A 15,521-nucleotide genomic window follows, 5' to 3' on the forward strand; every position below is an offset into this window, starting at 1 on the left:
AGGTTTATTGTCATCTTTATACATTTTTATTCTATTCATTTTGTTTATAGGTAGAATAGAGCATGAGGTACATAACAGGATGTGGAATAAGGACTATAGTGGTTAAAAGTAAATAAAATTAAAAAGCAATTTTAAAATAGAACTACATTGTTGGGTTGGGTGACAGAAGTGGAAGGCCAGTTGGCCATCTCGATATGTTCTTATAGTGTGGCATTATCCTGGAGGGTTCACTACAGTACAGGGTCTGGCCCTCAATTTTATAGGGCCAGACAGTATATCATAGGGGTTAAAAGCAAAGTTGGGAGCCAAACTGACTTTCGAATCCTTGCCCTGTCTTTAATTGCTATGTGACCTTACTCAAATTGCTCAACTGTTCTGTGCCTCAGTTCCTAATTCAAAGCTGGAAATACTAGGGCTTATCACATGAGATTGTTAAGTTATAAAGATGAGGTAAGTTGCCATGTGGAAAGTACTTGATACCTGACACATTAAAGGTGATAAATAATTTGTTTTTGGCTCAAAAATCTAATTCTTCAGTTTACCAATGTAGCTCAATCTTTCAGAGCATACTCTTGCTGTATATTGGACATTAATATATAAAAATTGTAATATCCAGTACTATTCACATGTGCTAGAATGACTAAAATTAAAAAGGTATTTTGAATTGTGGACTGGGATGTGGCACAATAGGAACTCTGATGCACTGCTGTGGGAATGTACACTGCTCCAGCCACTTTGGAAAAATGTCTGACACATTTGGCTGTCTGTTATGAGCACAGGCCTCCCCAGGACCTAGCAGTGGGTAATTCCTCAGCAGAGATGCACACTTAGATGCACTGGAAGACGTGTGTAAGAATCCTGTAGGCAAAACCTAAAAGAAGCAAAATGTCTATCAATAGTAGAATGGATGAACAAATTATAGTATAATCATTCAGTATTTTAAAGCAGTAAGAATAAACCAATTGTTGCTACACACAGCATTGATGAATCTCACAAACATAATACTTAATGAAAGAAGAATGGCACAGAATAGTAGATATTCTGATTTCATTTATATAAAGCTCAAAGCCGGCAAAACTCATTGATGGTGCTGAGAGTCAGGATGGTGGTTACTTTTGGGGCAAGACGGTGATTCAGAGGGAACAAAGGCAGCTTCTGGCAACTGTTGATGTCCCATTTCTTGATCTGAGCATTGGTTACTTTTTTACTCCTGCTGTGTGGCTTGGTTGTATTCACTTGGTGAGAATTCACTAAGCTGTGTACTTAGGATTCGTACCTTTTTATGACTTATTTTATGCTTGAATAAAAAGTTTAAAAATATGACCAATTTGTGAATTAAGAGAATTGATTAGACTAAATAGACCAGATGCTCTCATTTATAACAGAATAACACATCTTCCTTCAAGCAGATCTGTTATTAGACTATGCGATAATCTGAAGGTTACTCAGTAAGTCTAAAAGCAGATCAGAGAATAATCTTAATGCAAATATTTTAAAACTCTGATAGCTTGTTCTTAACATTTTCCCTGTATAGAAGCCTCTGCACTGTGAATTACATGTGCCTTCTGGTGGGCCAGTAGCCATTTCCCCTTCACAGTGGGACTAAAGACACTTGGCATCTCTCATCTGGCACATCATTCCAAGAGGGGCTGTTGTTCTCAAGGAAGAGCACTTGGAAGAATGAATGAATCCATATAAATCCATGACTGATTGAACGCTCACCCTGTGCCAGGCACTGGGAACACAGTGGTCGACAGGCAGATGAAGCCCTTGTTCTTGTGGAGACTCCATTTCTATTGGAAGACATGGACAATAAATAATACATATTGGGTATTGATGAAAGTCAGCTTCCAGACTCTTGCTGAGCATGACTACAAAAGGTGAAAGAAACAGTCAACAAATAAACCAAAAAATCTTTGAAGGCGTGAAAGCTAAAATGGTTAAAAAAATAATAATAACTGGGCCAACAGCTTGGGGGAAAATGAAAATGAAAGGCAATTTTCCTCTGAATCACAGAGAATGAAAAATGACTCATGTGACTATTTCCTCAACTGTCCTAAGAATGGTACATAGCTAGTATCATTCTAGATACAAAGGAAAGACATTAATTCATGTTATACACAGTGGATGTCTTAGGACATCAGGTTTCATTCTCTGGTGGAACCCTGGTGAGAAAGACTGCAATGAGCTTCTGCCAATTTCTAAAGAAGGTAGGTGAGAATGTGAACTGAGTCTTAAAAGAAATCTAGAGCCCAGAGAAGTTTTAAAAAATGGGCCTTAAGGGTCCACCCAGCTTAGGTGAAGGGACTGATAAATCCCCTTGGCTGTGGAATGGATCCCAGAGAAGCTATACTTCCAGAGAATGCACTGATGGTCAGCTTCCAATCATAGCAGTCCTTTGTGGGACTAAGGTTAACCTAGACTTACTAATTCCCCTATCCTGGAGAAATATAGCAACATAGTCCTGAAATTATTTTTTTCATGTGTAATTGCTGATATTCAATAAAAAAAATTACAGACATACAAGAAGGTACTATAATAAACTAAGGAAAAGTACAGAAGCAGACACAGTGGATTCAGATAGCAAACATTATACTCAATTATAATAAAGGAATTAAAAAATAAATGTGATGATTTAAACAGAACTGGAATGTATAGAAAAATAGACATTTTGTAACTGAAAAGAACTAAATGGATGGGTTCAGTAGCAGATTAGACAGAGCTGGAGAAAGAACTAGTACGCTGGAAGTTAGATCAGCGAAGCGTGAAGAGAAGAGACTGGACCACATGGAAAGGACCCTGAGCACAAAGTCTCTCATGTCCACCTTGCTCATTTAAGGCCCAGAGGTTCCACATGGTCTCGTCCCTGCACCTCTCTCCCAGCTCACTTCACTTTTACTTCTTGTCTTACTCTATTCCTGCTGCTATAATAAAATTATAATATTAATAAACTATAATAATTAGATGTAATTAGATATTTTAGATGGATAATTTATAAAAGAAATGTATTCTCACATTTTTGGAGGCTGTGCAGTCCAAGATCAAGACACCTACAGATTAAGTGGTCAAGACTTGCTCTCTGATTCATAGATGGTGCCTCTTGCAGTGTCCCCACAGGGCAGAAGGGCAAAATGGATGGCAGGGACTGGAGGGCCAGGCAGCTCTCTGAAGCCTGTCACGAAGGCATTAAACCAGTTCACGAGAGCCTGCATGTCTTAAGCACTTCGCAAGAGGCCCAACTTCTTAATTCCACCACAATGGACATTAAGTTTCAACATAAATGTTGGAAGTATACAAACATGCAAACCACAGCACCCCTCTACCTCATGGCCTTTATGCTTGCTGTTCATTCTATCTGAAATTCTCTCCCCCCTAGTCCCCTAAAATCCATGTGACCAGCTCCCTCACGGCTTTCACATTTGTATTCAAAGTCTTGTCTGTAAGGATTTCCCTGGCCATAGTGTCTAAAATCTCAAACCTCCCCAACACTCTCATTATCTTATATACCATATATTTTGCTTGGTTTTGTTTCTCTGCTTCCCCATGAGGACAAAGATACTTGTTTTGTTTTGTTTGTGTTGAATGCTATGTCCCCGGTGCTCAGCACAGTGCCTGACACCTAGTTGGCATTCAACAACATCTGCTTCCCAGGATAGATGGAAAGATGTCCATAAAAATCTGTAGCATGATGCAAGGTTAATATGGACCCAATGAAATTTAGTTATTCCTCCTTTTTCCTATCTTTGTGGAATTTCTGGTTTAATTTCATTTTCTTTAATTTTTTAATTTACAGTTAGTTTTCCCTTCACTTGTTTGTAGGATTTCTGACTTAACTTCATTGTTATTTTGTTTTTCTTTCAGTGTATTTTTCAGCACCTTGACAAATTAAACAAATGAAATTCTACCTCAGTTGGATATGAACTAAGAGAAGAGATCCTATGAATGATTGACACAGACATATTTTAAAAGGCTGTATTCAGATGTGGATAGAATAGCAGCTAATCTTTGTCAGTCATTACCTAAAAACCAAAGTAGTTAATACAAGTGATTGCAGGATGGAAATGTAGACATCACATTTTAGAGAAAGTTTTAAGAATTCATCATATTCTATAAAAGTCAAATACCTTGGATAGCTTTGATTTTTCTCTGATCTGACAGCTTGAGAGTGTTAAAAGGAATAGGTCTTCAGCTAAAACAAAACTACCTTTATTAGGTATGAACTATGCCAAACAATTTTCATAAATATTTTTTGGCTAATCTTCCCACAACCACTGGTAACAACCAGGAGGTATATTATGATTACCATTTTGCAAATTTTAAAATTGGGATTCAGAGAGATTAGTGACTTCCCCAAAGCCACACAGCTAGTAAGTGGCAGAGCTGGAATTTGAACATAGTCATCAGACTCCAAAGACTGATGCAAGGAAGTTGTATTAGTGTAGAAGTCACATAATATTTTCCTCACAGCCCTAAAATAAACAACTGGGCATGTGATTTAATTCTTAAATGATGACTTATTTAAATGATATGAGAAAGATTCTTATTTAGAATCATTGTTAATATGGTAATTTTTATCTTTAGTTGGCTTTGTGATATGCTCATAGTCTAATGAGTCTCAGAGGTGACACTGCATCGACCCGGATACTATTACCTAGAACCCCAGTGAAAACTGAATTTCTGAAAAGACTGTTTTCAGTTAATATTTGTTTTTTAAACTCAAATTATAAGACTAAGCTTTTAACGTTGCGTTTTATATGAAAACTTTTTACGTGTTGAAGTGACCAGTTATTATCGCAATTAAAGTTAGATGTCAGATAGCATAATTACAGTCTTTTAAAATGACTCAAAACTGAAACAGTATTTTAAAAATCACTCTTTTGTAAATTCATCTGTTCACTTAAAATGATTTTTCCTGAGTTTAAATGTGAGTTTACTTGTAACAGAAATAGAATTAAATAGGTCATACTGTTTCCTTTATCCTGGAAAATCTCTTCTTTTTAAAGCAAGATTTCTCTGTTGTTTGGCCACGTGTCGGTTTGAGTTTTATAGGTCGGGAATGACAAATGAAGAATCTCCACCTGTGTAAGAACACATCTTCCCTTCCTGTAGCCTGGCATCCGCCAAGCAGACAGCTCACCCCTGCCAGCTCGGTGCTGTTTCGAAGCTAAAAAGTCAGACTTGATGAATAAGCAAGTCTTTTTAATGAGGCAAACATTATTTATGTTTATAATAACTAATTTCTCATCCATGTTTGTTCAGTTTTTAATAATGTTCTGATATCAAAAGTAGAATACAGAGTTCCACAGGCAGTTTTCTGCTGAGGGCAGGGAATCTAAGACTGATACTTAATGTTTGACAGAAAATGATATAGGTGAGTTCTTGTCATCAAATTTTACAGTATTGTAATACAGACTGCATTTTATTATACAGTATTTCCTCAAGTTGCATTCTTCTCAAAGAAGCACTTAACTACATTTCCTGCCACTTGTCATTAATTAGTTCTTTTCATCATTTATTCAACAAACATGACCACATGCCTCCTATGTGCTAGACACTGGGAATACAAGAGAAAGGGCCTGCTTTTTACCCTTAAGGACCTTACAGACTAGTGAGAGGAGAGGAGGCAAAGAAATAATTACAGAAGCTATGAATATACAAGTTATTGGTTATCATGGACGCAGGAAGGAGAGAGGGATAATTCAGCCTGGAGTCTTCTTGTTGGCTCACCAAAAAGGTGATGTCAGAGGAAACAGCCTGTGCGGAGGAATTGCGGGTGAAATGACACAGCTGCTGCAGGGCCGTCACGCAGGTGCTGAAGCACACAGCACCAAGCAGCAGTGGCAGGCACCTCCCTCACAGCACCAGGCAGCAGTGGCAGGCACCTCCCTCACAGCACCAGGCAGCAGTGGCAGGCACCTCCCTCACAGCACCAGGCAGCAGTGGCAGGCACCTCCCTCACAGCACCAGGCAGCAGTGGCAGGCACCTCTCTCACAGCACCAGGCAGCAGTGGCAGGCACCTCCCTGGGTGAGTTGCTGAGGGCAGAACTGTGAGAGGCTTAGGAATTTGTTCTTTATCTTGTATCTTTATTTATTGGTTAATCTTCCCCTATTGTTCTCAGGACAGAGGAGTGCAGAGTGGAGATTTTAAGCAGGGAGGGAAGGGGTACAAGTGAGGATTTGCATTCTAGGTGTATAATTTTTGGAGGAATGTTTAGATAAGGAAGCATTAGAAATCCAGGATCAGTTACGGTCTCTGACTAGTCCAGTTGAAGAATTCTGAATGATTCTGATGAATCTAATAATTCTGAATGAAATGATTCACATTAGGAATGTAGAGGAAGCGGGGATGGGTGTGAGATAGATTTAGGGAGATTAAAAATAGCCTCATTGGCTAGTTAGATGACAATGGGATGGTAAAGCAGAAAGCACTGATTTTTCTCCAGATGTTAATGCCTTCCTAGGTGTGTGTGGACTGATGGATTCTCACCACAGTATTAGAGACCTCTTGTATCTCCTGCACTGCCTTGCTCACAAGTGCACGGTCTGATTTTTAAAGTGCAAGAAAAGGGATAAAACATCTTTGCAGTACATTTTGACAACATAGGGATGCGTTATATATGTATTTGAGATAAGGTCCTCCTCTGTCATCCAGACTGGAATGCAGTGGCCTGGTCTTGGCCCTGCACAGCCTTGGTCTGCAGCCTCCGCCTCCCGGGTTCAAGCAGTCCTTCCAACACAGCCTCTCGAGTAGCTGGGAATACAGGTGCCCACCACCATGCCTGGCTAAGTTTTGTATTTTTTTAGTAGAGACCAGATTTCTCCGTGTTGCCTAGGCTGGGTCTCAAACTCCTGGGCTCAAAACAGTCTGCCCACCTCAGCCTTCCAAAGTGCTAGGATTAGTAAAGGAGCTTTATTTAGCTTCTTCCAAAGGAAATTCCTTAGGTTGCTTGTGACTTTATACTGCCAGGTTTCCTCACTTTTGATCATCTGATGAATGGCTAGAGGCTCTGGAGATACATGAACCAGCTGAGGAAAATTCAGGAAAGAGGTGAGAGGACTAAACAGAGAAGGATTTGGCCTGCTTTGCCTCTAGAGGCATTCAGTCCAGCAATGTAATGAACATCTTTTAAGTCCTCATTATGTTCCAGGCACTGTTGCTACTCTGTGCCTGGTGTGATAGTGTGAAAGAATGAATAAGACACAATCCATATTCAGAAAGGTAGGTGAAGCAAAAAGCAAGGCATATTGTATGCAGCCCAGTAATGGAAGTACATATATTAGGTCCATTGTTGGCATAACAAAGGTGTCATGGACGGTTTTCATGGGACTCAGAAGTTATAACAGAATTGGAAGCTCTCATTTGAGCTTCACCTTGAAAAATTCACTAGACAGAGCAGGCCAGAGACTTGCAGGAAACAGCACATGAACTAGAAATAGTCATTGCATGGGAGGCACAGGACACATTGCAGAAAAATGAGTCTGACATGTAGACTGGGGCTTGTCACAATGGGGTCCTCTAGGAGCAAATATGGAAATGTGAAAAATTACCCAAAAATTTCAAATATAAAGTAAACCTTTCAGCATATCTGAGCAGTGCCAGCACTGAAGTGTAGTGAGTTCCTCATCCCAGGTCTTGGCAAGCTTTTTAAGAGTAGATTCTAAGCTTAGATGTTTGCTTGATCTAAATCTTTGACATCCCCTTCTATACTTTGATTCCACTCAATTATCTGTTGCGTTATAGCAAATAATACATTCACTATTTTTTAAATTTCTATCTTAGCCTCAGAAACATCTACTGAAGAATTTTATAATATAAAACTATGTAAATGAGAAAAAACGAGCAACCAGTGATTCAGAACACTAGAAGATAAGAGCATGAGGGAAAAAAGGGAGGCCTGCTAAACGCTCAGATCACCCAGTCCTCAGATAAAAAAATCTTAAGGTTTGGAGGCTCTTACTCAGCTCCACTACTCTCTCCTTTTCCTCGTTTTAATCATTTGCTGAGTCATTTGTTTATTGGTTAATCCCCCTTCACTGTTGTTCTCAGCCAGTGACCTCATCCCCTACCTTGTGATAAAAATAGTAGATGTTCAACAAGAATTCCCTGTGCTCCCTACCTGGAACCTTAGACACTGATTTGCAGTCACACTCAGCTTTTCCTCCTTTTCTCCTATTGCACCCTGCTTCATGCTTCCCTATATGTTTCAAGCGTTGTCCACTGAACAAATAATACTCGTCATAATGGAAGTACAAAATATTCACCACCATGGCCAAATCGAACTGTGAAATTGAAATCCTCCTGAATGAAATCTTGTGAAAATTGCAAATTTAATCTCTTAAAATCTTCAGTATAAAAATATCGAAGTCAATAACTCAAAGACCTAAACAATTTGAAAATTCAGATAAATTGCTAGTATTGTAATATCTGACAGAATAATTGAGTAAGGAATGAGTGTCATAACTGTAGGGTTAAAACAGTATACTGCTTAATATTTTAGTTTTTTTTTTATAATTCTAGTCATTTACAATCTTGATTCTTCAAATAAGCACAGAAATAGAATTCTTTGAAGAAGCATATTCTTTTCAAGCTAACATTACTAAAGTAACCATGATCTTTGCATTTTGCCCAACTGTGTGCACGATACAGTGACCTGGTTGCAAGTCTCAACTTCATCTTCACCCTTTCTGTTTCGTGCCCTCACACCAAGAGATATTTCATAAACACAACATGAATGATGTCATCCAAATTTAAATCCTTATTCCTTAACTTGGTCCTTCATGAGCTAGTGTATAATTTTCTGGGTCTCCTCTTCCATTTGCACCATACAGAGGAACCATAACAAGCTATTTGATTCCTTGAATGAGCTTAGTTCTTGTCTTCCTGTACCTCCATTGTTTTTCACCTGCTGTTCATTCTGCCTAATTTTAATTTTTAATGACTATTTTAATGGAAACTTCTACTTTCTGTGCTTTGAAGCTAATTTCTAGCATTGATACACCTGGGAAATTTTCTTCCACTTTTCTCTTTCCTAACTGGGCTGGTCCATCCCACCTCAGTGCTTACCCTTGACATGGCAATTGACTTGTAGAATTATAGTTGTCTCTTTAGTTGTCTGTCAGCTGTCTCCCACTACACCTCATGTCATCCTACTTACTAGACTCCTTTCCAACCATGGTGTCTAGCAGAGTGCCAGAAATGGCATAGGTGCTAAGTGATGAAGATTTAATTTAATAGGAATTTTCCTTCCATTAGGAGCCTCCAGCTTCTTTTAATTCATAAGAATTATTTGTAATGTCTGCATTTTGCTACTTACCTGATAACCAAAATCATCTCAAAGTATTTGTTTGTTGTCTGATAGCTTTCTCTCCCTTGATTGACTATTGGAAGATCATACTCAAATTAGTAATCTGCCTTCAGCTACTATGAAGAACACTGTGGCTTGCAAATTGTGTTATAGTCATATTCATGACTTCTGTTATTCCTCTGCCCCCATTTAATGACTATCATTTTATATTATACATTCTCATCAAAGTACAAAACATATAGCTCTTTGACAAATATTCAGTTGCTCTTTTCTAAAAAAATTTTTTTAAATATTAGTGATCATATATAAATTATGTCTTACTCCTACAAAGACAGCACCATCCCTTCATATTAATATTTATTTTACAAAGTTGAAAGCTTTATAGTAGCACACTATTTTGATTACTGTAGCTTTATAGTAAATTCTGACTTGGGAAGACTTACGGTCTATCCTGAAGAATGTTTCATGCGCAGTGGAGAAGAATGTGTATTCGGTTCTTTTTGAGTAGTGTGCTCTATAGATGTCGATTAGGTGTAATTGATTTGTATTGTTGTTCAAATGTTTTTTTTTTCTTTTTTGACCTTCTTTCTAGGTATTCTACTTATTACTGAAAGTGTGTTGATGAAGTACCCAACTATTATTGTTGAATTGTCTATTTCTCCCTTTAATTCTGGTAGTTTTGCTTCATGTATTTTGAAGCTCTATTGTTACATATATTTTTTATATATGCATACATGTTCATAATTATTTTACCTTCTTGATGGATTGATCTTTTTATCATTTTTTAAAATGTCATTTTTCTCTAATAATTTTTGTCTTAAAGTCTCTTTTGCCTAATGTTAGTATTATAGCTACTCTAGTACTCTTTTAGTTACTATTTTCATGGAATATCTTCTTCCATACTTTTCCTTTCAACCTGTTTTTATGTTTGAACTAAAGTGTGTCTCTTGTAGACAGCATGTGGTTGGATCATTTTTCCCATAATGCTAATTTCTTCCTTTTAATAGGTGTGTTTAATCCATTTACACTTAATGTAATTACTGATAATGTAGGATTTATGCCTGCCATCTTGCCATTTGTTTTCTACATATTTTAGGTCTTTTTTGTACCTTACTTCCTTCTTTTGTGTTAAATGTTTTTTTTTTCACTGCACTGCTTTATTTGTTGTTTCTTTTTCTACATTTTTATTTTTAAATTACTTATATTGCTTTCTCAGAATTAAACCAACACAAAAATGCTTTTTAATAGCTCCATTCTCTCCACTCATTTTTGTCTTATTACTGTCATACAAATTACATCTTTGTACATTGCATACCCATCAACATAGATTTATAATTATTTCTTTGTGTATTTGTCCTTTAAATCAGATAGAAGGAAAAGAGTTACAAATAAAAAAAAAGCTTATACTATCTTTTATATTTACCTAAGGATTTACCAGTGTTCTTTGTTTTTTTTAATGTGGATTCAAATGACCTTTGTCTTAACTTCTCCTTCATTTTTGAAGGATAGTTTTGCTGGATGGAGAAATTTTAGTTGACAGTCTTTTTTTTTTTCTTAAGAACTTGTTAATATGGCTTCCTATTGTCTTCTGGCCTTTATAGTTTTTGTTAGAAATCAGCTGCTAATATTATAAAAATCTCTTGCATGTGATAAGTTGCTTCTCTCATTCTACTTTCAAGATTCTGTCTTTGTCTTTCAGCAGTTTGACAATAACCATGTCTACATTTGAGTCTCTGAGTTTATCCTTTTTGGAGATTATTGAGCTTCTTGGATGTGTAGATTACAGTTTTTCATTAAATTTTGGAAGTTTTCAGCCATCGTTTCTCAAAATAATCTCTATTCCTTTCTATTTTTTCCTTTGGGTCTGTCAGTATTTATATGCTCATGTATTTTCATACATTTGATGCTGTCCCATAGGTCTCTGATACTCTGTTCATTCATCTTTTTTTCTCTTCCTCAGACTGGATTTTCTCCACTCATCCATCTTCAAGTTGACTGAGTTTTTTCTTCATCCTAGTTCTATCTGCTGATGAGCTTCTCAAATGAATATTTTACTTTAGTTATTATACTTCGCAACTTAAGAATTTATTTTGGTTCTTTTTTATGTTTTCTATATCTATATTAATATTCTTTGTTTGATGAGACACTGTTCTTATACTTTAGTTGGTTAGAAAGGGTATTGTTTGATTCCTTGACTACACAACTATCCCCTGTGTATACCAAAATCCACACATAATCAAGTTTCATAATCAGCCCTGCAGAACATACATATTTGAAAAGTTGGTTCTCCATATATATGAGTTTCACATTCTATGAATACTGTATTTTTTTAGTTGAAAAAAATCTGCAGTAAGTGAACCCACACAATTCAAATATGTGTTGTTCAAGTGTCAACTGTATTGAAAATAACCAAATTAAAGTCTTTGTCTAGTAAGTCCAATGTCTCAGCTTCCTCAAGGACTGTTTCTATTGACTGCTTTTTTTCTTGTGTAGGGACATACTTTTGTGAGTTTTTTTGCGTGTCTCAGTTTTTTGTTGTTGTTGTTTAAAACTGAACATTTAATGTGTAAACTCTGGAAATCAATTTTTTCCATGGTTTCTTGTTTTTGTTGTTTAGTGACTTTTCTAAACTAATCTTATAAAGTCTCTATTTCTTGTGCATTGCTATTGAAGTCTCCTCTGTGTTAGTTTACTAGTCAGCTAATGATTGGGCAGAGATTTTAGTAAATGCCTAGAAACTTTCTAATCTTTGCCAAGGGCCTCTGGGTGCCTATTGGGACTCATGCTTAACCTCAAGGTCAACCAGAAGAGAGAGCTCAGAGCCCTCTCAGGTCTTTTCTGGGCATGGATATGGCACTGTGCATGGTCCCGGCCTTCTAGATTGCCAGGAATAATTCAGAGCTTTACAAGACCTGTTTTGGACACCTCATTCCCCACTTTTCTTTTGAAGATTTTTGATTAGCCCATTGTTTGTTCAGTTTTTCTTCACTACCTCAGGCAGCAGAAATGTCAAACAATTGCCTTTAAGTATTTTCTTCAGATACCCTGAGGAAAAAGGCATTTTGCAAGGGGTGAAGTCTGAGTCAGGTCAAATGAAGACAGTTCTCTAGGAATGGCGTTTTGTCAGAACTCCAGCCTTATTCTGCCCCCTCCAGCAGCATCCAGACTCCTGGTGATTGTGGCTGTTGGTTTTCAAGGTTCCTTCAGAGCTGGGGAGTGGGGCATGGGAATAAGACAAGTTAGAATAGCGCAAAGCTCACTGTTCTTACCAGGATTCAGCCATTTAAAAAAAAGAAAAAAGACAATGTTTTCTAGAGCTCTGCAATCTTTTGGTTAATTTCCAGGGTTCTGAAAATGGTGATTCTGACCATTTTTACCAATTGCTCTTTGCTTTTGTAGAGAGAATGTGTGGAAGTTCTTCACCATTTTCACTCCTATATTTTTCTTTACACTATAAGTAGACATATAATTAAATGCTAGCTGAATTAATGGAAATTCACTAAAAGCAGAATGCTTCTTTCTTTTTAGAAACTTCTCTGAATGTTTTTGTACTTCTCCTGTTATGTTTTAGGACTATGATGATGGATATGGCACTGCTTATGATGAACAGAGTTATGATTCCTATGATAACAGCTATAGCACCCCAGCCCAAAGGTAAGAGTCAGTCTTTATTACCAGACCCCACAACAGAAACCATCCCCTTCCACATTCATATATTCTGGGAAAAGTATGGCAGTCAGCTAGAGAGGGTAATTGGCTTGCCCTGTTTTTGTATTTGTTTAAATGGAGAAGCCCTGTCTGTTCTAGCAACCAGCATGTATTACCCTACCCAAGTTTACTATAATGTTAAAGAAATCAGGGAAATAAAAACTGAAATTTTAGTCTAAAAATTCAACTTAAATGTTCAGTATATTTTGAGAAGGAACAATGGCCTCAAAGTCTGTGACTATTTAGTCTTAAGGCCCAAAATTACATTGGAAATGTGTAAGTATCCTACATTGTCAGTGCCTGGAGAAGAAAGTGTCAAAAGTTTTGTTTCCTATTCATAGAACATTTCAATTTCTAAGTAGCAGCCTCTCCTGTTTTCTATCAACTTCAAACTCCTACCTGTGAATAATGACTTAGTTGTGATTTATTTTCCAAAGAAATATTTACCCACAAATAATTAAATGTTACCAGAGGCAAAACAGAGCTTCATACTTACCTCTTCTGATAATATTACCTTGATGTTCATTGATACATGAACTTAGTGTTTCTTATGTTGAGAATGTTTTCCTAAATATGTGGAAACCTTTTGTTTTATGTTTAAAATTCTAAGTGGAAGACAAAGGTAGATATACACATAAAACAAAATATTGGCTTTGTAGTGATTCTGAAGCATAAGAAAATATGGACTATGAGGTGATTTTGATGAAACACAAATTCACTTTTGAACTCGTCCAGTGCCAGTCAAGCTTTGCACACATAGGTTCTCTTTATTTGTTAACTCTGGTACTGAGGTAGATAGGGATATAAAAAAAACTCTTTGTTTTTGCTCATACCAAATTTTATTCTTCTATAACTTGTAAGTTTTGAGTAGCCTTCAAACTTTGACTCTCAACTGGTCTTTGTTGGTGGAAGCCTGTATATCGTGTTTGTGCCCTTTGGTGTGTTGAGGGTAGACCTAACACTTACGGAGCCCAGTGACTGGCATGTGGTGAATGCTTGATAAGACTTTGTATACACCGTCTCATTTAGGTATCCCAGCAACTTTATGAAGTATATGCCATTGTTTTCATTGTATACATGAAGAAAAGGAGCACAAAATTAAGTAATTTGCCAGAAATTGCACAGAAAGTGAAAAGATGAAATTCTAAGTCAGATATTCTAACTCAAAGATATGTACCCTTTATAAATAAGTCCTTCTCAGATTTTGTTTAAAAACATAAATATCCACAAATATTTCAGTATGTAGTCTAAATATCCTAGCAAAGCAAGTCTCCCATCCCCACAGCATTTGCTGAGTGCATACTATATTCCTGGCACTGTTTCCATAAGTTCTGTAAGGCCTTACAGTGTAGGTTGTCTGAACACATCAATCCTGACAACAGTACTATAAAGCTGATGGTATTGCTGTAGATGAGGAGATCACATAACCAAGAGATTCTGGCACTTGCTTGTGACCGAACAGCTGATAAAATGGTAACAGGTGTGTGACTGTCAAGTGCATATTCTTAATCCTGGTACATTTGTGTGAGAGGCTCACTGCACATTTCTGTTAGTTCTGTTCCCGTATCTGTTATGGGATGTATATACAGTTATGTGTCATTTAACGACTGGGATATGATCTGAGAAATGTGTCCTTAGGCAATTTTGTCATTGTGTGAACATCATAGAGTGTACTTACACACCTACATGATACAGCCTGCTACACATCTGGGCTGTATGGTCTACCTGAACAGCATGTTACTATACTGAATACTGCAGGCAGTGGACACACAATGGTATTTCTGTATCTAAACATGTATAAACAGAAAAACTTCAGTAAAAATGTGGTATAAAAGATAAAAAGTGGTATACCCATACAGGTCACTTACCATGAATGCAGCTCGAAGGACTGGAAGTTGCTCTTGGGTGAGTCAGTGAGTGAGTGGTGAGTGAATGTGAAGGCCTAGGACATTACCGCGCACCACTGCAGGCTTTATAAACACTAAACGCTTAGGCTACACTCAATTTATTAAAAAGCCTTCTTCTTTCTTCAATAGTAAATTAACCTTAGCCCTCTGTAACTTCTTTACGTTATAAACTTGTAGTTTTTATTAATTTTTGACTCTTGTAATAATACTTAGCTTAAAACACAAATACATTGTACAGCTGTACAAATACATTTCTTCATATCCTTATTCTATATACTTTTATCTATTTTAATTTTTTTTTTTTTTACTTTGTAAATTTTTTTTTCCCCTCTGTCACCCAGGCTGGAATGCAGTGGCGTGATCTCAGCTCACTGCAACCTCCTCCTTCCAGGTTTAAGGAATTCTTGTGCCTCAACCTCCGGAGTAGCTGAGATTACAGGCATGTGCCACCATGCTTGGCTGATTTTTGTATTTATAGTAGAGATGGGGTTTCGCCATGTTGCTCAGGCTGGTCTTGAACCCCTGGGCTCAAGCAGTGTGCCCACCTTGGCCTCCAAAAGAGCTGGGATTACAGGTGTGAGCCACCACACCGGGCCTACC

The 15,521-nt window shown here is 37.2% G+C and overlaps 1 protein-coding gene across 14 annotated transcripts in view; it reads left to right on the plus strand.

The window, feature by feature from the left end:
• The window catches only part of KHDRBS3 (KH RNA binding domain containing, signal transduction associated 3), a 199,061-nt gene that overhangs the window by 136,622 nt on the left and 46,918 nt on the right, over positions 1-15,521 (plus strand). For 12 of the 14 annotated variants that reach the window (XR_242372.3, XR_001745458.2, XR_001745455.2 and 9 more), the window contains one exon: positions 12,878-12,960. The exons of the other annotated variants lie outside the window; for them this stretch is intronic. Coding sequence is in view for 7 of the 12 variants with exons in the window: in XM_047421269.1 (XP_047277225.1) it covers positions 12,878-12,960 (83 nt within the window). In the remaining 5 variants the exon portion in view is untranslated. The remainder of the gene's footprint in view (positions 1-12,877; positions 12,961-15,521) is intronic. 14 annotated transcript variants of the gene reach the window in all.

The sequence above is a fragment of the Homo sapiens genome, chromosome 8 (genome assembly GCF_000001405.40).
Source record: "Homo sapiens chromosome 8, GRCh38.p14 Primary Assembly".
In the NCBI taxonomy this organism is placed as follows: domain Eukaryota; kingdom Metazoa; phylum Chordata; class Mammalia; order Primates; family Hominidae; genus Homo; species Homo sapiens.